Source organism: Homo sapiens, chromosome 17, assembly GCF_000001405.40.
Source record: "Homo sapiens chromosome 17, GRCh38.p14 Primary Assembly".
NCBI lineage: Eukaryota > Metazoa > Chordata > Mammalia > Primates > Hominidae > Homo > Homo sapiens.
The window spans coordinates 77,896,741-77,921,031 of NC_000017.11; the positions used below are offsets into that span (position 1 = coordinate 77,896,741).

The window sequence follows — 24,291 nt, forward strand, 5'->3', positions numbered from 1 at the left end:
CCTCTTTTTTTTTTTTTTTTTTTGAGATGGAGTTTCGCTCTTGTTGCCCAGGCTGGAGTGCAATGGCACAATCTCAACTCACTGCAGCCTCCACCTCCTGGGTTCAAGTGATTCTCCTGCCTCAGCCTCCCTAGTAGCCGGGATTACAGGTGCCTGCCACCACACCTGGCTAATTTTTTCTATTTTCAGTACAGCCAGCGTTTCGCCATGTTGACCAGGCTGGTCTGGAACTCCTGACCTCATGTGATCCACCCGTCTCGGCCTCCCAAAGTGCTGGGATTACAGGCGTGAGCCACCGCGTGCCCAGACAACTCCTGCTGCCTCTTCACCTCTAATGTTTCCCATCTCATCTCCGAAGAGCAGCCAAGCAGAAGCTCAAAAGAACCGCTCCAGCTCCCCCCTGCTCCCAGGACCTGCTCAGACCCGGGGGGATGTCATGGCCCGGATCTGTCTGTCTTGTCTACAGGTAGAGGGCGGCTTATCTGTCCCCAGTAGACCCTGTCTGTACCCCTCTCACCCCATGAGACCCTACCTCGGCCTCTCCTTCTCGCTGAGACATCTCCTCCCTCCCTGGTCCTCCACCTTCAGGTCCTCACGGCTGAGAGCCCCTGGCAGCTCCGGGAATTATCGGGCGGCATCCTGACTCCCGCCTTGCTCCTCAGACCCCTCCCCACACCCTGGCCCATTCCGGGTACAAGGGCGACTTGGTTGCCTTCATTATAGACTATAGCACAAAAACACAATAAAATAAAATGAATGTTTTCTCCGCGAAAATCCATTAGATGAGTTACTGTTGTAATTTAATAATGGGATGGGAAACTACAGCAAGTTACCGAAGTATATAATTAAAGTAAATCTATTTTAAAGCCCTTTATTGCTTAGTATTTCTCAGATCCCAGTCTCTCTTTCGCCTCCGCTCCCCTCCCCCCACCACCCCCCTTCCCTTTTTCTGAGCCTGAGGAGGAGGCTGGGTGTCACGGGTTTCTCTGAAATTGTCAGTACCTCGGTGGCAAACACAGCTTCCTGCTCTTTCCAGGAGAGGATCCTATGCCTGGCATCCCTGAGGCCCCAGGCTGGCCTCCCTTTGTCAGAGCAGGGGCAGAATGATGCTGCTACTGACTGATCCAGGACCCACCTCTGCTAGATCCTGGGGAGTGAGGCTTGATTCTTGCCCTAAAAGCAAAGCCGCCAAAACTGGGCAGAGGGTGATGCAGGGGAGTAGGGAGATGTCTGCACTAAGAATCCCCTTCACAAAGGACAGATGCCGCTGAGCCCTGCACCTCAGATTTGCCAATGATCGCCAATTCCAAGACAGCATTGTGGTTAAGACGCAGCAGGAAGCTAAGGCTCAGAGAGGTTTGGAACTTGCCCAGGGTCACACAGCTATAAGTGTCAGAGCTGGAATTGGATCTCAGGCACCTGACACAGGCCCGGCTGCCTCCAAGAAGCTCCCAAGTCTGGATTCCTGTGTGCTGGATGTAAAAGCCAGTGAGCCTGGCCAATTATTGCCCATTTTCAAAGGAGGAAAGAGGAGAGGAAAGCTTGTGGCTATTACCTCCATGGTCATTGTCTGCTTTCTGAAGGAGAGCCCCAGGAGTGGCAGAGTCAAGCCACACCTGCAATCCTGCACACCCCAAATCCTCTCTCAGTTACACCCCAACCCCTCCTTGGTAAAGAGATGAATTACCTTCATCAGAAGGGCCAGGGTAGGTCCTTCGGGGGCTCACTGGAAGCCCTAGCACCTGAGATTGACCTGGCCTGCCATAGGGAAGGGGACTCTGCAGCCGGCCAGTTCAGGACAGGAAGGGGCCAGCCAAGCCTCTGGTCACTTGAAGTGAGCTTGATGAAAGAAGTTTTGTGGTTCATTCAAACACACAATGATGCATTCTCCCCCTTCTAGAGCCCCCGGACCGCACTCAGGGATCACTGTGCTACTGGCAGCCACAGAGAACCAAGTGACCCAAATGAAGCCACACGGGCACTTTGAAATCACAGTGAGCTCTTGGCATAACAGAGAAAATTACTCCCAAGGAAGACTCTCCCTGCCCACTGATGGGTTTTCCAGGGAAAGTTGGACCTCTGGAGATCCCACGCTTCCAGAGAAGCCAGTGTGCCACCCCAGCCCCGGGCATGAGTCCTGTCTCCCTCCTCGCCCAGCACAGAGCCAAGCTTCTGCAACCAAGAAAGCACCAGGAGCCCCAGGCGCCTAGGGGATGCTAGAGAGAGATGCAGGTTCTGCCAGGCTGTGAGTCCATGCAAATGAGATGCAAAGTGATATGCAAATCCAAGCTTCCCTTTCTGAATCTCAAGTTGTCATCTGGTGGCTGAGCCCTCCTAGTGCTCTGAAGGCCGCTGTCTCCTTCCAGCCTCGTGCATATCAAGGACAGGGAGCTCTGACGATGGGGTGATGGGGCGATTGGGGAAGGCAAGCAGAGTTTTGTAGATGGCAGGGGCAGGATGGTTGCCGACCCCCCTGCAGACCTGACAATCCCTCGGCATACCCGACCCAGTGCCGAGTTTCCTGGGGCTCAGTGGTTGCCACTTCCTTCTTTGCAGCCTTCCTTTTTGGCTCCAGAGAGGTGCCCCAAGACATGCACCTCAAAGCCCCAAGGGAATGCCCCAACCCAGGGCACCTCCAGGTTGAATGCTCAGCGACTTCGGGAATGCAGATGCCACACACATCCCTCACCTATTGGGCTGCAAGAGGTAGTTGTTAAACTTTGGAACCACTGAGAGTGGGATTCTCCACCAGGATTTTCAAGCTTAGAGCCATCTTGGGCTGCTTTCCAGATGAAGGAAGAAAGCCGAGCGGGGGAGTGCGCCCTGCCTGCTCAGCCAGGATCGTGCCTCCGAAAACACACTTCAGTGTGCCCAGGAGTTCAAGAGCTCAGGGCTCCCTCTCAGCCCCCATCTGGCACCTGTTCCCAGGCTGGGAGCACTTAGAACCTTCTTAGAAAGTGCTCCCTGCGGCGTGTAAGAGCTGCAGGGCTCTGAACTAGAGAAGGAGCCAAAATTCATAACCATGGTGACAAAGAGGCCAACAGCAGAGGGGCTGGCCTTGGAGCAGCCAATTAGAGGACTAGGAAGGTGAGAGCTGAGAAGGGAAGGGGCTCTGGAGGCAAAGGAAAAGCAGACAGTGCAAGAAAACTTCAAAAAGGGTCGAAGGAGTAAGGGTGGGGCCCAAAGACAAACACCCCCCAGCCCCACCCTCCAGCCCTGCCTGAGGTCTAGCCGCCATGCCCACGGACCTCATGAGGGCCCAAGATTTCTCTGCAGGGCTGCGGCCCTCAGCAGGCCCAGATACCTGGTCAAGGCCTCTGGCTTTTCTCTACTCTCCCTTGCCCCTCCAATACCTCCGCATCTGAGATGAGAAGAACATTCGGGGTGGAGGTGAAAAGGTGGAAGCACAGGTGGCGTCCCCCTTTATATCTCAGTCAGGGCATGGCCTTCTGAACCCTATGCTACTGGGCTAGTGCCTGGGGTGGGAGGTGCCATCAAAGGCAGGCACCTTCTTGCCCTGTGCAGCCTGAACGAAGCCCTGTTGGTCCTGTCCTCTGCCCCACTCTCCAGAGGAAGAGTGAGCTATTTCTTTTTTTTTTTTTTTTTTTTGAGATGGAGTCTTGCTCTGTCACCCAGGCTGGAGTGCAGTGGTGCAATCTCGGCTCACTGCAAGCTCCACCTCCCACGTTCACGCCATTCTCCTGCCTCAGTCTCCCCAGCAGCTGGGACTACAGGCACACGCCGTCACGCCTGGCTAATTTTTTTGTATTTTTATTAGAGACGGGGTTTCACCATGTTAGCCAGGATGCTCTCAATCTCCTGACCTCATGATCTGCCCGCCTCAGCCTCCCAAAGTGCTGGGATTACAGGCGTGAGCCACCACGCCTGGCAGAGTGAGCTGTTTCATAAATCATCCTCCGGTCGTGGATATGAACACTCTTTATGCCCACAGAGCTGTATACGAGAATATGATGTGCTTCTTCGGACCATGGGCACGTGCTGAGCTTCAGCTGCACGCTAGGCTCTGTGCTGGCCCCAGGGTTCAGGGATAGCTGGCAGGGGAAATTCTCTCTGGCACATCCCCTTTTCCCTTCCCATCCATGCCCACACTGGCTCTGTGCCTTCTGCAATTAATTTCAAAACTGAGGCTCCCCATTGCTCCTCCATGGTGAACATGACCCAGGGTACAACAAAGCCCTGAGAAAGAACAAGATAATTCACCAAACTAAATGGAAAGCCAAATCCTGACACTGAAGGTACTCCCCCATACTGAGAGGGTGCTGGCATCTCCCCTGATCATTAGGCAGGCCCTCTGGGTAATGTTGGTGGCAGCAGAGTGCTATAGACTGAATTGTGTCCCCTCCAAATTCATATGTTAAAGCCCTAACCCCCAAACCTAACAACGTGGTGGTATTTGGAGATGGGGCTTTTGGGGACGTGATTAACATTAGATGAGGTAATGAGGGTGGGACCCCCTGATGGGATTAGTGCCTTAATGAGGAGATACCAGAAGGATCATTCCCTCTCTGCCATGTGAGCACACAGCAAGAAGGCGGCCGTCTGCAAGCCAGGAAGAGAGCCCTCATCAGAATCAACCATGCTGCTCACTGATCTCGGCCTTCCACCCTCCAGAACTGCAAGAAAATAAATTTCTGTTATTTAAGCCCCCAAGTTTATGGTATTGCATTCCTAAGTGTACTTTTTAGAGCTGATTAACAGGCATGCAATAAGGTTTGCTTTAGAGACCACAAATAACTCTCTAGAAACAAAACATGGAAACAAGAGTCTTCTCTGCCCCAGATGCCAGGATGGGAGCCATCTGGATGCTGCCTGGATTACACACTTTCCCTGCCACCCTCCTGTGTGTCCACAGCTGGCTTTGCTGTGATCTACTGGACCAGCAGCTGCCAGCCAGCCCGCTGGGTGCACAACCCCAGACGCATGTCCTTGGCCTGCCTTGTGGGGCTTTCCAGCCCTGGCCAGCTCTGAGCTGTATGAGTGGGATGAAGAACCAACAGAGGAAGTTTGAGCTACAGTCACCATGTCCCAAGTGCACACTCCACCTGGGCAGCTCTTGGAAATCACACCAACTCTACATGTTGGTTGAGGGAACACCACAATTGCTGCCATTATAAACATCCTGGGTGCAGGAGTGGGCTGGGGGGCACATACCTGTTAGTGATGGAGAAGTGGGGTTTTATCCAGCTGGTCCTCTGATTAAAATCATCCCTTACAGCTTTATTATGTAGGTAACACTCCTAGTTATCTAACTAATATTGTGCTTTATTGAGAAATTTCTACAGAACAAGCATTTGGTTAAATACTCACATACAATATTTCATTTATTTATTCTGTGAGGAAAGGGGAGATACTATCTGATATGGTTTGGCTCTGTGTACCCACCCAAATCTCATCTCGAATTGTAATCCCCACATGTCCAGGGAGGGACCTGTAATCCCCCATATGGAGGGAGGGAGGTGATTGGATCATGGGGGCAGTTTCCCCCATGCTGTTCTTATGATAATAAGTGAGTTCTCATGAGATCTGATGGCTTTGTAAGTGTTTAGAAGTTCTTCCTTTGTTCTTGTCACTCCTGCCACCATGTGATGAAGGTGCTTGCTTCCCTTTCACCTTCCGCCATGACTGTAAGTTTCCTGAGGCCTCCCAAACCGTGTGGAACTGTGAGTCCATTAAACCTCTTTCCTTTATAAATTACCCAGTCTTGAGTATTTCTTTCTAGCAGTGTGAAAATGAACGAATACACTATCTCTACCTCCATTTTATATATGAGAAAACTCAGGCTCATGGAGGTGAGATAACACATCCAGCACCATGCAACTAAGAAGCAGTCAAGCTGGATTCACACCCAGATGTTCTGACTCCAGACCCTGCATCTTCATCACTGTCTGCTGAGGCCATCCTTGCTGTGACAACACCTGGAACAACAGCCAGTGCATGGAAGGCTGTCAGTAAATGGTGGCTACCCTCTCACCCTGTCGTTACTATTGTAGCATGGCCTCTTGTGTAAGTCAACCAACCTAAGCTCCCACATAGGTCTCTGCATGGTTTTGTTAATTAGCTTATTAGTTAGGGCTGCATAACAAATTATGCCAAAACGTAGTGGCTTAAGACAACACACATTTATTATTGCACAGTTTCATGGCTCAGGGTTCTGAGCACAACTTGGCTGGCTTCCCCAGCTCAGGCTCTCACAAAACTGCCATCGAGGTTGGGGCTGCAACATCATCTGAAGCCTGCCTGGGGAAGGATCATGTCCCGGATTCACAGAATGCAGGCGGAGAGGCAAGGGCAAGTGAAGGACTTGCCCGAGGCCAGCTTAGCGTCGGTGTTCACATTTCAGATTCCCACCAACTTCTGTGATGTTGCCCAGCCACATAGACACATCAAATAGATAAAGATGATGTTGCTATGGAGTCCTGGCATAGGTAGACCAGGGCCAGAAATGATCAAGGTAATTTGCAAATATCAAGGCAATCAACCCTAGACTGTGAGCCCCACGAGCCAGGAGAATATACATTTTACTCACTGCTGCATCCCAGCACCTAGGAGTGCATAGGACTACTTCCTGCCCAGCCAATAGCTGCTGGGTGAAATGAATGGTTCCGTTGATGGCAGCAATCAGGACTGGCTTCCACCCAGAGGATCATTTGTGAAGAGGGGGAGAAAGCAGGAGAGGAGGTGTGGGGTAGATAGCCAGGCATGGGACGGGGAGCACGCAGCACTTACTCCTCCTCCATGCCTGTCTTCTCATCATAAATGGTGAATAAACACAGTGCCTCACGCCTGTAATCCCAGCACTTTGGGAGGCCGAAGCAGGTGGATCACCTGAGGTCAGGAGTTCGAGGCCAGCCTGGCCAACAAGGTGAAACCCCGTCTCTGCTAAAAATACAAAAATTAGCCAGGTGTCCTGGCACACGCCTGTAATCACAGCTACTCAGGAGGTTGAGGCACAAGAATCACTTGAACCCAGGAGGCAGAAGTTGCAGTGAGCCAAGATCGCGCCACTACACTCCAGCCTGGGCAACAGAACGAGACACTGTCTCAAAAAAACAAAAACAAACAAACAAACAAAAATGGTGAATAAAGAAATAACCTATCCAAGGAGCCAGAGAAATCTTCCAACCACCTGGTCGGCCTGTGCTAGTTTCAAAGGGGATCATGTATCTACAGAAAACACAGGTAACCTCGGGTTGCATAGGGCAAGTAGGGAGATGATTTTCCCCCTAGAGCCGGGACTACCCTTCCAAGCCACAGCCCTTCACCTTTAGGAGGAAAGAAAAGGCTTTTTGATGAGAGTCCTCTTTAAAAGGAAAGAAATGCAGTCTCGTCAAAAGCCCAGTGGTAACACTTCCCTAACACAATGCGTGCTGGTGACAACGTCTAATGAAGACTTTTATGATAGGGATGTAATTGTAAAAAAAAAAAAAAAAAAAAAAAAAAAGATTAAAAAATTGGTTTCAATGCTTTGCCATCCAAGAGTTCATTTGTTTCCTCATTCATGCACTAAATAAGCCCCTAATTAATCTTGAACCTCGGAGAAAGGCGACTAGATTGCCATTTTCTCCGTAAGGACGCACTTCACATTTTGGGAAGTTTGAAGAGGCTCTTCAGCATTTTCCTTTAGTGGTATTTTATCAGCATTTTAGAGAAGCTTCATTAGGCTGCCGAAAGCTGCTAATTGCATTACCATATTTTTAAGCCTCACGGGTTCGGGTCAGATTCATCGTTCTCCCAATTCTCCCACGAATCTGCAGGTTTGACATGTCAGAGATCCAACCGTTGAGGAGAGAGGCCACCGTTCACACCAGCGTGTTGCTTTCTCAAGGAAAATTTAGCTTCAAAAGTCATTGTGGTGTCACCACTCCTAGGGAGAAAAAATAAACCTCCAGCTTTCCAGCCAAGAAAAGAAACACAAAAGGACTGTGTGTGTGCATGTGCGTGTTTGTGTATAGATAGATAGACATGAATATAGATGTACAAATGTGTGTTTAGAGATATATAAATATAATGTATATGCATAGAAATGAATATCTGTATATGTGTGTGTAGATATGAATATATGTATATGTGTGTAAACTGATATAAATATATGTATATGTGTGTAGACAAATATGAATATATGAGTATATGTATTTATCTGTAGATAGATATGAATATATGTATATATATACCTAGATATGAATATATGTATATATGTGGAGATGGATATGAATATGCACATATGAATATATAAATAGATATGAATAGATGTGTGTATGTGTATAGATGATGTGTGTGTATATCTGAATATATGCATAGATGTATATATGTAGATAATGACTACATATGTGTGTCACATATGTAGTAAGTGATGATGCTTATATTTTATCTGGATTCTCCCCTCTCTTTAAAGAAAATTTCAATGGAAAACTAATTTCCAAACCTAAGCAGCTGAACACCCTTCCAGAAGCCTCACAGACATTATCTCATTTAATCCTCTCTACAACCTTGTGAAGAGTTAACTACTATTTCTGTCATTTTGCAAAGAGGGAAATGGATTCTCAGAGTTCATAAGTCACAGAACCCACAAGTGTTAGAGTCGAAACTTGAAGCAAGGCCAAGGGGGTCGCCAGCATCCGTGTTTGGTTGGTAATATTCTGCCTGGGAGTCAGGAGTCTAGGAGGTGACGGACCTGGGTCCAAGCCAGCTCCGTGCCTCCACACAAGCATCTTGGCCCCGCTGAGTCTCCCGTCGATGAAGTGATGATGTCCACCCTTTGGAGATAAGAAGATGAAATGAGCCGAGGCGGGCGGATCACAAGGTCAAGAGATCAAGACCATCCTGGCCAACATGATGAAACCCCGTCTCTATTAAAAGTACAAAAATTAGCTGGGCGTAGTGGCGCATGCCTGTAATCTCAGCTACTCGGGAGGCTGAGGCAGGAGAATCGCTTGAACCCGGGAGGCAGAGGTTGCAGTGAGCCGGGATTGTGCCACTGCACTCCAGCCTGGCGACAGGGCGGGACTCCATCTCAAAAAAAAAAAAAAAAAAAAAAGAAGATGAAATGAGATAAAATGTGTAAAGCAATAAACCCTGGTCCGTCCACTAGCTGCTCACACAGGTGCAGCCCTGCAGCCCTGACTGGAGGCATCGCAAGACAGCTGAACCCCATAAAACCAGGGCAGGCACCCCACATCCTCAGGAGACCCCGGCCAACACACAAATCTGGGTCCTGCCAGCCGGCACCACTCAGAGACGGGATGGGGACAGTCCCATCTTCTGGCTTGAAAAGACTTACCCGGTTTCTCCTCTCCCGAACCTCACCCCTGGAGTCTAAATAGACACTGTGTTGGGTCGGGTTCCCGGCTGGGCATTGACACTTTTACCCCTCCTGCTCCATTTCTGGTCTCCAGAGTCTTTTTTCTTCTAACACAAGTGTCTGGGACCCAGCAGCCACTTTTCAAGCAGAGCTCCCCGACATGCCTTCCCTCCTACCCCCTCCCCACCTACTCACTCTCCATCTCTGATGCTCCATGCAAGCACAGGAATGACGGAGCTGGGCTTCGGGGCAGCAGAAAGAGATGACTGAGAGACCCCCTCCGACTGTGGCCTCTGGTCCCTGAGATTGCCACCTGGGGCATGCCGGCTGCAACTGGGGAGGGTTTTAGGCACTGACAGGGCCCAGGAAGGGCTCAGCGATTGGCGAAGAGGCTCTGTGTTCACACAATGACAGCCTCCGGAAATGTGCAGGCCCCCCGAGCTGGGAACACAGGGTCTCTGGGCCAGCACTGCCCAAGGACCATCTGAGTCTTTATTAATCACAAAATAAGGAGATCCCTCCACCCCAGGCTACCAGGCAAGGGTCACCTGGTCTGCCCAAGGAGGAAGGGGACAGCAGGTGGCCACAAGAGTCTCCAGGGCAAGACCCAGCTGGTTCCCTCCTGCCTGTGGCCTGCTCCCCAGGAAGCCCAAACCGTGTGCACCATGCCCAGCAAGCTGGACGCTGCCCTTCCACCAGCCATGCGGGGGATTGGGTGGGGGGTGTTGGCTACAGTGGGTCTGATGCCTGGGAATCTCTGGCTTCTCTGCTGCATTGGCAAGATTGGGGGATAAGCAGACGGGCTTCCGGTTTGTTCTGTAGGAACTGTCTGTGTCCCCATGTCTTACAGAGGGAGGATGGCAGCAAATGGGGTCGGGAAGTTGCTGGCATAGGAACCTGAGAGACAGACAGGAGTATCATTTGCAGCTTGGGTTTTGCACTCAGGTAGACACGGGTCCAAGTGTTGGCTCTGCCACATTCTACATGGGTGGCCTTGAGCAAGTGACACACCCTCCAGAAACCTGTTTCTTCCCTTGCAAAATGCAGCTAAGATTGTCACTACTTCTAGGATTGCTACAGGATTAAATGAGATTAAATGACACTTAAATAAAGATCAAATAGGGCCAGTCATTCCAGAAGTATTTCTTTTTTTTTTTTTTTTTTTTTTTTGAGATGGAGTCTCGCTCTGTCACCCAGGCTGGAGTGCAGTAGCGAGATCTCGACTCACTGCAAGCTCCGCCTCCCGGGTTCACACCATTCTCCTGCCTCAGCCTCCCGAGTAGCTGGGACTACAGGCTCCCGCCACCACGCCCGGCTGATTTTTTGTATTTTTAGTAGAGACGGGGTTTCATTGTGTTAGTCAGGATGGTCTCAATCTCCTGACCTCGTGATCCACCCACCTCGGCCTCCCAAAGTGCTGGGATTACAGGTGTGAGCCACTGCGCCCAGCCTCATTCCACAAGTATTTCTTGAGCAGCTACACTGGGAATACAAGTCCCTGGCCCCACACGGCACATGAGCTAGCTGAGGAGACAGATAATACACCGGGAAGACAACAAGCACGACAGGATCGATGGCAGGGAGTGCTGCGGAGGAGAAGGAGGAGGTGCCATCATGAAAACAGCAGGGACCGGCCGGGGGTCAGTGCAGGCCTGGTGCTTGGGCCAAGGGCTAAGGGATGAGAGGAGCCAGCCAGCTGAGGATGGGAGACCCAGGCAGAAGGGGGTGTGTCGGCCCTGAGTGGGGAAGGGCTCGGTGTGTTGAAAGAACTGAAAGTGGTCAGTGGGCTCGGACAGTGGTGAGCAGGGTGAGCCACGCAGGCACAGGGCTCGTGCTCCATCACTGTGGGGTGGCAGGCCCTGCAGCAAGGGTACCTGCCCATGACCACGCCCCTTCCCATCAGGAGGGCTTCCCAAGAGAGCTTCGTCTCCTGCCCCGAGGAAGCTTTCCACTGACAAATCTACATATGGAGCCCAGGAATGGCCGGGCGCAGAGAACCCACAAATGTACTCAGATCCCATCCCACCCTAGGACCCGGGCACTAAATCGTAAACAATATCACATGCCCTGAACGCTGTTTTCCCTTCTACCAGGGAATCCTATTTTATTCTGATTTCTCTTTTGGCTGATCTCACTAGAAACTCAGGCCAAGAGAAAACACATCATACAAGAAGCTAGGAACCATATTCTATTCCAGACCATTCATATCCTCTCTCTCTCTGCCTCTCTCTCTCTCTCTCCTTACACACACACACACACACACACACACACACGCCAGCCATAAGTCAAAACAAGGGCTACAGCGAACTCTAAAGATTCACAATAACACAGCTATTTCCACACCTGTGCAACATTAACCTACTATGGTCTTCACCACCAAAGAGTGATTTTTTAAAAAAACAAGCTAACATACAAACCCAACAAAACAGTTGTCAAATGTGGGTGATGTGGGTTTTACATGTAAAACATGCACACACACGCATACACACACACCCATATGCATGTATCTGCCTCAGGCAATGAAATTACCCACATGTTGCCCTTGAAGTATAGAGATTTTTATCCCATTTAACAGAAAGGGGTTTGAGGCCCCGTCACTCACCCCAGGGAACACCGTGACTAAGCTGGAGGGCCCGGAGATGCTGGCAGTGCTCCCACTCTCTGAAGCCTCCTGGCACTTTGTTTCCTGACAAGTGACACTTTTGGCCTGCCTTTTGTCCTGGCTCACTTACCTGAGAGCAGGGACCATGGCTCCTATACCTTGGTGTCTGTCCCTAGGACCTAGCCTGGTGCCTTTCATACAGTAGGTGCCCATGTAGCACCTATTGGATGAAATCTCCACAAAGCATAGGTTGGTAGGAATCAAGGCATAGAAAGGGTAACTTGGGGTCCCCACAGCACCGCCCTTTCCCCGCTCCCACTTCAACACTGTCCCACCTGCCTGGAAGCCCTGCCCTCCCCACACCTCACCCCAAGATGAAACGCCCAACTCAGACATCACCTGGCTTCCTCTAGGCGATAAATTTCAAAACAGAAACATAGGGAATGAACACGGATGACCCCCTCGTTTTCTGAGTAAGTATCATTTTCAAAGCATTTGCCGTCCCACATCACTATTGTTTTACAAAATAAAGCACTTTCTAACACCAAAAGGTAGAAGGGATGTACTCTCAGCAGACAGAGCTGTCCTTGAAAGGACCGCGCCCAGCTTTGTGAGAAACTCGCCACTCTGTCCTGGTTCTTTTCATCTTGTCTCCAACCACAGACCCGCATCAGATGCCGGAGCCGCGTTTAGGAAGCGCCGTCCGGGAGGACAGCCAGTGGTGCCAACGGGGAAAGGAGCCAGGCCAGGAAGCCAGAAGCAGCGTGAGAGGGAGGCGGCTCCCAGTCAGAGGAGTGCAGATGTAGAGGAGGTGCCCGGGGTCCTGACCAAGAACTCCCGCCCCACCAGAGAACTGGAGTCCAGAGCTGGGACGCCAGCCAGGCTGGAGCAGGGATTCTTCTGGAGAGCTGAGCGAAGAACTGCAAGTCCTAACGACTCCCTCTGGACCCCGAGAGCCTTTCAGCTTCTCAGTTCGAGAGCGGGTGGCAAACTGTGTTCCAGGCTGGATCTCCATCCAGTCTCTAATTTTACACGAACGTGGTTCTCATTTTCCACCGTCGTTCCCTGTGAAATTCAAGAATGTAGTGGTCAGGATGATAAGCAGGAAACAAGGGTGAGGAGGGCTACCTGCCCTCTCAAGGCTAACGGGAGACCCCCTAACTTCCTTGGCCACCTCCCCATCCCACCTGCCGCACCCGCAGCCTGTGGAGGGGGCCCTGCAAACATCAGCTAGAAAGCCTGGGCAGCCAGCCCGCCACCCCAGAGCCACCCCCATCCTCCGCTCCACCCCTACGTCCCACACCCCATCCAGCCACACACCTGGCACACAAGAGGGGAGTGCCTTTTCCATGCCAGGCACACACGCAATTCTCCTCCACCAAAGCGACCGGCCTGTGGGCCTTCCCTCACTGGGCCACGTGGGAGGAAACGGGGATTGGTCTTGGAGGCTTTCCTGCCCCTTCCCCTTCTCCGCCAGGCCCCCTCTCCCTGTCCTCACGCTGCATCTCCTGGGTGGTTCTATCTGGGGTGTTAATGTTTAAGTGTGATCGATGGCTAATCCCAGGGGGCCTTGGATCTGGCTGCAACCTGGTGAGAATCACTGAGGGGGGCTATACAAATTGGGGGTGCCTCAATGTACCAGCATCTCTGGGACACATTTAAAGCAGTGTGTAGAGGGAAATTTATAGCACTAAATGCCCACGAGAGAAAGCAGGAAAGATCTAAAATCGATACCCTAACATCACATTAAAAGAACTAGAGAAGCAAGAGGAAACAAATTGAAAAGCTAGCTGAAGGCAAGAAATAACTAAGATCAGAGTGGAACTGAAAGAGATAGAGACACAAAAACCCTTCAAAAAATCAATGAATCCAGGAGCTGGTTTTTGGAAAAGATCAACAAAATTGATAGACTGCTAGCAAGACTGATAAAGAAGAAAAGAGAGGAGAATCAAATAGATGCAATAAAAAATGATAAAGGGGATATCACCACCGATCCCACAGAAATACAAACTACCTTCAGAGAATTCTATAAACACCTCTAAGCAAATAAACTAGAAAATCCAGATGAAATGGATAAATTCCTGGACACATACACCCTCCAAGACTAAACCAGGAAGAAGTTGAATCTCTGAATAGACCAATAACGGCTCTGAAATTGAGGCAATAATTAAGAGCCTACCAACCAAAAAGAGTCCAGGACCAGATGGATTCACAGCCGAATTCCACCAGAGGCACAAAAAGGAGCTTGTACCATTCCTTCTGAAACTATTCCAATCAATAGAAAAAGAGGGAATCCTCCTTAACTCATTTTATGAGGCCAACACCATCCTGATACCAAAGCCTGGCAGAGACACAACAAAAAAAGAAAATTTTAGACCAATATCCATGATGAACATCGATGCAAAAATCCTCAATAAAGTACTGGCAAACCAAATCCAGCAGCATATCGAAAAGCTTATCCACCACAATCAAGTTGGCTTCATCCCTGGGATGCAAGGATGGTTCAACATATGCAAATCAATAAACATAATCCATCACATAAACAGAACCAATGACAAAAACCACATGATTATCTCAATAGATGCAGAAAAGGCCTTCGACAAAATTCAACAGCCCTTCATGCTAAAAACTCTCAATAAACTAGGTATTGATGGAACTTATCTCAAAATAATAAGAGCTATTTCTGACAAACCCACAGCCAATATCATACTGAATGGGCAAAAACTGGAAGCCTTCCCTTTGAAAACCAGCACAAGACAAGGATGCCCTCTCTCACCACTCCTATTCAACATAGTGTTGGAAGTTCTGGCCAGGGCAATCAGGCAAGAGAAAGAAATAAAGGGTATTCAGTTAGGAAAAGAGGAAGTCATATTGTCCCTGTTTGCAAATGACGTGATTGTATATTTAGAAAACCCCATAATCTCAGCCCAAAATCTCCTTAAGCTGATAAGCAACTTCAGCAAAGTCTCAGGATACAAAATCAATTTGCAAAAATCACAAGCATTCCTATACACCAATAACAGAGAGCCAAATCATGAATGAACTCCCATTCACAATTCACAAGAGAATAAAATACCTAGGAATCCAACTTACAAGGGATATGAAGGACCTCTTCAAGGAGAACTACAAACCACTGCTCAACGAAATAAAAGAGGACACAAACAAATGGAAGAACATTACATGCTCATGGATAGGAAGAATCAATATCATGAATGTGGCCATACTGCCCAAGGTAATTTATACAGTCAATGCCATCTCCATCAAGCTACCATGACTTTCCTCACAGAATTGGAAAAAATTACTTTAAAGTTCATATGGAACCAAAAAAGAGCCCGCATTGCCAAGACAATCCTAAGCAAAAAGAACAAAGCTAGAGGCATCATGCTACCTGACTTCAAACTATACTATAAGACTACAGTAGCCAAAACAGCATGGAATTAGTACCAAAACATATATGTAGACTAATGGAACAGAACAGAAGCCTCAGAAATAACACCATACATCTACAACCACCTGATCTTTGACAAACCTGACAAAAACAAGAAATGGGGAAAGGATTCCCTATTTAATAAATGTTGCTGGGAAAACTGGCTAGCCATATGTAGAAAGCTGAAACTGGATCCCTTCCTTACACCTTATACAAAAATTAATTCAAGATGGATTAAAGACTTAAATGTTAGACCTAAAACCATAAAAACCCTAGAAGAAAACCTAGGCAATACCAGTCAGGACATAGGCATGGGCAAGGACTTCATGGCTAAAACACCAAAAGTAACAGCAACAAAAGCCAAAATAGACAAATGGGATCTAATTAAACTAAAGAGCTTCCGCATGGCAAAAGAAACTACCATCAGAGTGAACGGGCAGCCTACAGAATGGGAGAAAATTTTTGCAATCTACCCATCTGACAAAGGGCTAATATCCAGAATCTATAAAGAACTCAAACAAATGTACAAGAAAAAAACAAACAACCCCATCAAAAAGTGGGCAAAGGATATGAACAGATGCTTCTCAAAAGAAGACATCTATGCAGCCAACAGACACATGAAGAAATGCTCATCGTCACTGGTCATCAGAGAAATGCAAATCAAAACCATAATGAGATACCATCTCACGCCAGTTAGAATGGCAATCATTAAAAAGTCAGGAAACAACATATGCTGGAGAGGAAGTGTAGAAATAGGAACACTTTTACACTGTTGGTGGGAGTGTAAATTAGTTCAACCATTGTGGAAGACAGTGAGGCGATCCCTCAAGGATCTAGAACTAGAAATACCATTTGACCCAGCAATCCCATTACTGGGTATATGCCCAAAGGATTCTAAATCATGCTACTATAAAGACACATGCACACGTATGTTTATTGTGGCACTATTCACAATAGCAAAGACTTGGAACCAACCCAAATGTCCATCAATGATAGACTGGATTAAGAAAACGTGACACATATACACCATGGAATACTAGGCAGCCATTAAAAAAAGGATGAGTTTGCCGGGTGCGGTGGCTCACGCCTGTAATCCCAGCACTTTGGGAGGCTGAGGCGGGCGGATCACGAGGTCAGGAGATCGAGACCATCCTGGCTAACACAGTGAAACCCTGTCTCTACTAAAAATACAAAAAATTAGCCGGGCGCGGTGGCGGGCACCTGTAGTCCCAGCTATTCGGGAGGCTGAGGCAGGAGAAAGGCATGAACCCGGGAGGCGGGGCTTGCAGTGAGCTGAGATCGTGCCACTGCACTCCAGCCTGGGTGACAGAGCGAGACTCCATCTCAAAAAAGAAAAAAAAAAAGAAAAAGAAAAAGAAAAAAAGATGAGTTCATGTCCTTTGCAGGGACATGGATGAATGGATGAAGCTGGAAACCATCATTCTCAGCAAACTATCACAAGGACAGAAAACCAAACACCACATGTTCTCACTCATAGGAGGGAACTGAACAATGAGATCACTTGGACACAGGGCGGGGAACATCACACACCGGGACCTGTCAGGGGGTGGGGGGCTGGGGGAGGGATAGCATTAGGAGAAATACCTAATGTAAATGACGAGTTGATGGGTGCAGCAAACCAACATGGTACATGTATACCTTTGTATCAAACCTGCACACTGTGCACATGTACCCTAGAACTTAAAGTGTAATAATAAAAATAATAATAATATAAATAAACAAAATTCGTAATTTAAAAAAAGGCCAGGCATGGTGGCTTACGTCTGTAATCCCAGAATTTTGGGAGGCCGAGGTGGGCAGGTCACCTGAGGTCAGGAGTTCGAGACCAGCCTGACCAACATAGTGAAACCCTGTCTCTACTAGAAATACAAAAAGTAGCCAGGCACGGTTGTGCACGCCTGTAATCCCAGCTACTTGGGAGGCTGAGGCAGGAGAATCACTTGAACCCAGGAGGCAGAGGTTGCAGTGAGCTGATATCGCGCCATTGCACTCCAGCCTGGGCAACAAGAGCGAAACTCAAAAGAAAAAAAAAAATTGGGGGTGCCCAGGCCTCACCCCAGAGACCCTGATCCAACAGGTCGAGGTGCGGCCCAGCCATCGAAGGTTTTAAAAGGTCCCCCGAAAATTCTAGTGTGCCGTTCAATTGAGAACCTCTGGTGCCAAAGGCCAAAGAGGCACCCCCGTGGGACCACTGTGTTAATAAATTGCCTCCCAGTCTTGTCATCTGGACAGAATGAAGCTCCAGGGCTTTGAGTGATTTAGAGCAGAACCACATGACACTTGGGGGTGGGGGCTCCAACTTGAGAAGCCATCCCAACACCCCAAGACAGGCACTGACCCAACACAAGAAATGTGCCCTTCTACTTCCCACTCCCATTCCCTGGGTCCTCCCTCTCCCCCTCTCAGATTCCAAGCTGGGCTCCAGGCTCAACGCCAATTCTCTGAAACCCAACTCTCCGAAGGGGGCCAACTCAGGGAGTTGTCTTAGCAGGCAAGTGGGGACTGGCCATCTTCCAGTAGGACCTCCCTCTGTGCTAGTTGTAAGGATGAAGTGAGATATTAAATGTAAAATGTTTTACTTTTTTTTACACGCGCATGGCGTATACACATGCTTCATAGAACCACGTACGCAGCTCTCAGAATTTCTCTTTTGCACCCATTTCAACTGTTCAGCTCTTCAATCCATCTTCAATTCCTCTTTCTCTGCTCCCCGAATATCCCCAGCGTCACTGCCTCAGCCCAGCACCTGGCGCAGCAGAGTGCTGCCCAGAGGTGGCGCTCAGTGAATGGCTGAAATGATGGGATAAATACAGGTTAGCCCCGAGCGGCAGGTATATCTGAACGGCACCACCATCCGCCGGCCACTCCAGGTGGACACCTGGGCCCAGCCCCTCACTCCCCACTCCCCCTCACCATCCTGAGCCTGGCACCAAACCCCCCGCCCCACCATCCTAAGACTGCACCATCCTCCTGCCCTTTTCTCTGCAGCTGCCCCACTTCCACTCCACTCTCCAAATCAGGTTGGTCTTTGTCCACTGGAAGATATACACATGAAATTACTTACTAACCATTCCACTTTACCCAAGTGATTTGCTTTTTAGAACACAAACTTGAACTGAGTCGAGGTCATTTTTCCTCCATGAAAGACATCTTCACTGGGTGCTTCCGATTCAGCACACATTCCTGAGAGCTGAGAACAGAGGGGTATAATCCCATGCCAGACCAAGGGAGTGTGGTTCCTGGGACGGGCACCTGTCTCATGGGACCTCTCTGTGTGCCTCAGTTTCCTCATCTGTAAAATGGGAGAATTACAGGAGCTCCCTGCAGAGTTGTTGTGAAGATTAAATGAGTTGCTACATGCAAAACTTGGAGCGCAGCCTGGTCCAGTGTGTTAACATTATTATTATCACCATCATTATTATTTTTAGGTGTGCAGAAAAAGGGCCTGAGGACTGCAGTTCTACACGGTAGCAAGTGATGGCTACAAAGTTGCTCAGTTGGTCACTTCCCTCCCCTCATAAAAATCCCTCCATGGCTCCCCGGTGCCCTCAGGCAAAGTCCTTCAGGATCTGGTCCCTGCTGATCTGGCAATCTCATTTTGCACCACACACGCCCAACCCAGTCAGCTGCAGCAACCAACTTCTCTGGACCAGGTGGTGATTGGTCAGCACAGGGTTAGCCCTGAAAAAGGTTTGCTTTAAATCTGTTAATGCGGCAGGGTGAGTTTGCACAGCATCAGATCACTATCCACCCTAGGCGGTGTCCTCTGGTTTAAGGGCAAAATGCAAATGATACATTTGGAAATAATCAGCAACCAAGATTACTTATCTGGGGCAAGGAGCTCTTCTTTCCCCAGCAAATGCTGCCCTATGGGGTCTGCCATATTTCCCGACCGCCGCTTGTGTGTGTTGCAGGCATCTTATCTCATTCGACATTATTATTTTCTAGAGGATAAGATAGCAATGTTTGCTCAACTCAGTATTATCAACCCATGATTGCAGCTACCTGTACTTTATATTCACCGCCAAAACAGAAAAACATCCTAAGACTTGTGAAATCAACCTGAATTGGGGGGTAGGCGTGGATATAAAAGAAAGAAGACCATCGTAAGAGCTCAGGAGTAACATATTATCCTGATTAAGTATGGGGGAGGAGTTAATGCACTGAGGTTAAAAATGCATCGTTTTTCTTTTCTTTTTTTTTTCTTTTTGCAAATTGTGTTCTTGTGTGTTTCATGATGACTGATATGATATATCCTTGGCTTTCAGAGCAAGAAAAGTCATCAGGGTTTCATTTGTTATGTTTATGCCAAGAGAAATCAATCTCCACAGACACAGAGAAGGCTGCTCACACTCACGATGCTGTCTGGGGAATCGGCCAGTCACGCCCTTGGCGGACGGCAGAAGAGATACTGGGTAAGATATGCTTTGGGCTTATTGATTACAAAGCTTCTTCATTACTTCTGTGGAGCTGCAGATCAATAGGCTCACAGAAACATAATAGATTTTTTTAGAAAATCAATTAAACAGAATATTTTTTACAGAATTGAGTTTGCACAGCCGTGTCGTTGGTGTGCAGCTTCACATTTTTAATGCAGTTTCTCTGTAAGAGCCACGTTATAATGAAGAGGTGGCAAACCCTTGGTTAAAAGTTCACGCATAGCAATACGAATGGGTCAGATTAGAGGGAGGGAGACAGGACCGACTCTCCAGGGAAAGCAGAGAGCATCGCAGCCGCAGCCTTGCTGGAGAGCAGTGGTGTGGGGCACCTGACCTGCCTATTGCCTACATATCATCATATGGGCAAAACCTATCCGTGTGCCTCCTCTCAGTCTAAAAAACGGAACTGAAACTTCTTGGAAAGCTCAGATTGACGTCTGAATTTCCCCATTCTGAAAGCAGAAGGAAGCTCAGCAGGCATAAAGGTGAAATACAGCCAGGCTGTGGCTGTCCAGATTTGCCGTGGCGTACACGCGGCTTTCTTTTCTAAGCTGTAGAGGAGTAGCTGCAGGAGCTGAGACGTGGGGTTCAGGCTTCGGAACAGTGGTGGGGAGGGGCTTTGGCCTGAACCCCAGGCCCATGGGCCACACACATGGAGCTTTTCAGGTCACAGGTAGGTAAGCCATTTCCCACAGTGCCAGGTTTATGCAGAGTGACCCTTGCAGGCGTGCTGCAGTGCCCCAAATCACAGTCCTGAGCCAGCAGGGGCTGACACCATCCCTGATTCACTGTGCTTCCCTCCTGTTGCCGTGTTCCTCCTGGTTTGGTATGATCCTGGAAGACAGGCATGAAGAAGAAAGAGAAGAAGGAGAAGGAAGAGGAGGAGGAGGAGGAGGGAGGAGGAGGGAGGAGGGAGAGGAGGAGGAGAGGAGAATGAAGAAGGGAAAAGAAGGAAGAAGGAGAAGGAGAAGGAGGAGGAGGAGAGGAGAATGAAGAAGGGAGAAGAAGGAAGGAGAGGAAGGAGAAGGGGGGGGAGGAGGAGGAGGAGGAGGATTAGAAGAATTATTAGCCATCCTGGCTAACCCGGTGAAACCCCGTCTCTACTAAAAATACAAAAAATTAGCCGGGCGTGGTGGCGGGCGCCTGTAGTCCCAGCTACTCGGGAGGCTGAGACAGGAGAAAAAAAAAAAAAGAAAAGAATTATTAGAAGAATTACTACAAGAATTGCAAGAAGAAAGTAGAAATTCCCCTCCCATTTCTGGGAACTCTACGAAGAACCGCTCACACGTATGCGGTGAGAAACCCAGCAGGAAAGCCTCCTGAAAGTACTCCAGCTCTGCCGAACACAGGACTTCAATGTTCCCAACAGTGCATGATAAATAACAAGGCTATAACTCCACAGAGAAGCCCATTGATGACATTTAGAAATCTCCCTTAGCTTCGTTCTCATGGTTTGCATCGTCAGAACCCCAGGATGGAATCTCAACCTCAATTGATGTCCATTTCGGGGGTGGATGTTGTTGAATCGCACTTCCTTTGTTCTGGCTCTTGTCCCCTTGGGCTTGTTCTTTGGTAGGCCCGGTGTTCCTCTGGGGGGCCTCTCTTCCTTCCCGCTCCACCCCAGGGAAGGACAGAGCGTTCTGCCCTCTGAAAATTTAGATTATTTACATCTCTAAAGGGGCATCACTAAAGGAGCAGTGTCTGGGCTTTGAGTTGCTTCTAACACTTCTCTGTAAATTCTCCCCATTTTGTTTTGTTTTGTTTTTACCCTGAATTAGTAAGATTCTGAATTGAATCCTGAAACCTGGAGTGAAATATGAAGTCCTCCTTTCTGCAGGGCTAGAATACAATCAGACCCCCAAATGAAGCTAAGGCAGCAGGCTGAGTTTGCCTGGAGACCAACACGTGCCCGAAGGTGGAGACATTCATTCCCTTGTTCCTTCGCCTCCCTACAGGTAGCATCACTGGGGAGCAATCCAAGGGTGCTGAGGCTGCAAGTGTTGTTTGAGAAAAGGGGAACATTAGAAGGAAGTGCAAATGGAAGTCTTTCTGATCCAATGATTTGGGGAAAATTATTTCTTCCAAGGCCATGTTTCCAGCCCAATGGATTTCATGGCACCTAGTATGTATCTCGGCAAAACAGCAACTGAGCCATCCAAGGATCCGCATTACCTTCTTTTCTTTTCTTTTCTTTTCTTTTTTTTTTTTTTTTTTTTTGAGAGGGAGTCTTGCTCTGTCGCCCAGGCTGGAGTGCAGTGGTGTGATCTCGGCTCACTGCAAGCTCCGCCTCCTGGGTTCACGCCATTCTCCTGCCTCAGCCTCCCGAGTAGCTGGGACTACAGGCGCCCACCACCACGCCCGGCTGATTTTTTGTATTTTTAGTAGAGACGGGGTTTCACCGTGTTAGCCAGGATGGTCTCGATCTCCTGACCTCGTGATCCGCCCGCCTCGGCCTCCCAAAGTGCTGGGATTACAGGTGTGAGCCACCGCGCCCGGCCAGCATTACCTTCTTTTCAAGGGCCTGTCTCCCTTGCCTCCATAACTGTTGTGGGTATTGACGGCCAGGCTTCTAAACCCCTTAAAACTCCCCAACTCTAGTGCCAACTTGGACAACATTCTTTTATGCACTCCTTTTTAGTTATCCCCACCTGCCCAGCTCCATTATTAGGTCGAGACATTTTAACTAAATTATCTGTCAGCCTTTCACGTTTAATCGTTCAAAACTCGACCTGGATCCACAATAGACACTAGAATGCAAGACTCTGAGAAAACTCTAGGGAAGAACAATAGCACTGCCACAAAAAACAATGTGGAAACTGTCAGGCCTCTGAGCCCAAGCTAAGCCATCATATCCCCTGTGACTTCCACGTATGCATCCAGATGGCCTGAAGCAACTGACGATCCACAAAAGAAGTGGAAATAGCCTTAGCTGATGACATTCCACCATTGTGATTTGTTTCTTCTCCACCCTTAAGAAGGTTCTTTGTAATCTCCCCCACCCTTAAGAAGGTTCTTTGTAATTCTCCCCACCCTTGAGAATGTGCTTTGTGAGATCCACCCGCTGCCAGCAAAACATTGCTCCTAACTTCAATGCCTATCCCAAAACCTAAAAGAACTAATGATAATCCCACCACCCTTTGCTGACTCCTTTTTTGGACTCAGCCCGCCTGCACCCAGGTGAAATAAACGGCCTTGTTGCTCACACAAAGCCTGTTTGGTGGTCTCTTCACACAGACACGTGAGACAGAAACAAGAAGCTCCCTCTATGTGCCCTGTAGGGACATTTTTCTTGGAGAATCGTAACTCTAAATTCTTACCTCGCAGAGAGGGACCCGATGGGACCTGTTTAGTAAATATTACTGAGTTCTGCCACTTGTCGACAATCTTCCAGGGAGATAACTCCTAATTAATTAGAAAAAGTGCCTGCCCTCGAGGCGCATACATTCTATGAGTGAGAGAAACAGACACAGATGTGACATGGATGCCGCAGCGCAAGGATTTTGTCTGCATGTTCATTGCTGAGTCCCCACGTTTAGAAGGGTACCCTGCATACTTACCTGGCAGAGGAGACACCATGATCACAAAGGTGGTTTTCCCAGGGTTAGGCTCACATTCCAGGTGTGCTGACCCCTGCAATTTTCCCAAATGCAGGAAATTCAACTGCATAATCGGTGGGGGAGTGGGGGGGACTGTGTTTGCGCTTTCCCCTGTGGGTTTTTTTTTTTTTTTTCTAATATTAAAAAAAAGAAGAGGCTGGGCGTGGTGGCTCACGCCTGTAAGCCCAGCACCTTGGGAGGCCAAGGAGGGTGGATCAACTGAGGTCAGGATTTCGATACCAGCCCGGCCAACGTGGTGAAACGCTGTCTCTACTAAAAATACAGATGTGGCCAGGCACAGTGGCTCACGTGTGTAATCATAGCACTTTGGGAGGCTGAGGCGGGTGGATTACCCGAGGTCAGGAGTTCAAGACCAGCCTGGCCAACATGGTGAAACCCCCGTCTCTACTAAAAATACAAAAAGTAGGCCGGGCGCGGTGGCTCACGCCTGTAATCTCAGCACTTTGGGAGGCTGAGACGGGCAGATCACGAGGTCAGGAGATCGAGACCATCCTGGCTAACATGGTGAAACCCCATCTCTACTAAATATACAAAAAAAAAAAAAATTAGCCGGGAGTGATGGTGGGCACCTATAGTCCTAGCTACTTGGGAGGCTGAGGCAGAATGGCGTGAACCCAGGAGATGGCGTTTGCAGTGAGCAGAAATCATGCCACTGCCCTCCAGCCTGGGTGACAGAGCGAGACTTCGTCTCAAAAAAATAAAATAAAATAAAATAAAAATAAAAAATAAAAATACAAAAAGTAGCTGGGCGTGGTGGCACACACCTGTAATCCCAGCTATTCAGGAGGCTGAGGCAGGAGAATCGCTTGAACCCGGGAGGCAGAGGTTGCAGTGAGCCGAGATCGTGCCACTGCACTCCAGCCTGG

General features: G+C 48.8%; 1 pseudogene, besides 3 other annotated features; it reads left to right on the plus strand.

Moving 5' to 3' along the window:
• Positions 10,534 to 11,075: an enhancer, noted in NCBI's record as "H3K4me1 hESC enhancer chr17:75903356-75903897 (GRCh37/hg19 assembly coordinates)". NCBI's record gives its function as "activates a minimal SCP1, AML or CMV promoter by ChIP-STARR-seq in naive H9 embryonic stem cells {active_cell/tissue: H9 hESC(naive)}" and the evidence as "EXISTENCE:reporter gene assay evidence [ECO:0000049][PMID:30033119]".
• Positions 19,903 to 20,424: an enhancer, noted in NCBI's record as "H3K4me1 hESC enhancer chr17:75912725-75913246 (GRCh37/hg19 assembly coordinates)". NCBI's record gives its function as "activates a minimal SCP1, AML or CMV promoter by ChIP-STARR-seq in naive H9 embryonic stem cells {active_cell/tissue: H9 hESC(naive)}" and the evidence as "EXISTENCE:reporter gene assay evidence [ECO:0000049][PMID:30033119]".
• On the plus strand, positions 23,358 to 23,518 carry RNU1-80P (RNA, U1 small nuclear 80, pseudogene; annotated as a pseudogene).
• Positions 23,573 to 23,777: a silencer, noted in NCBI's record as "fragment chr17:75916395-75916599 (GRCh37/hg19 assembly coordinates)". NCBI's record gives its function as "represses an EF-1alpha promoter that drives an FKBP-Casp9 reporter gene in an ReSE screen in phorbol 12-myristate 13-acetate-treated (for megakaryocytic differentiation) K562 erythroleukemia cells {active_cell/tissue: K562(+PMA)}" and the evidence as "EXISTENCE:reporter gene assay evidence [ECO:0000049][PMID:32094911]".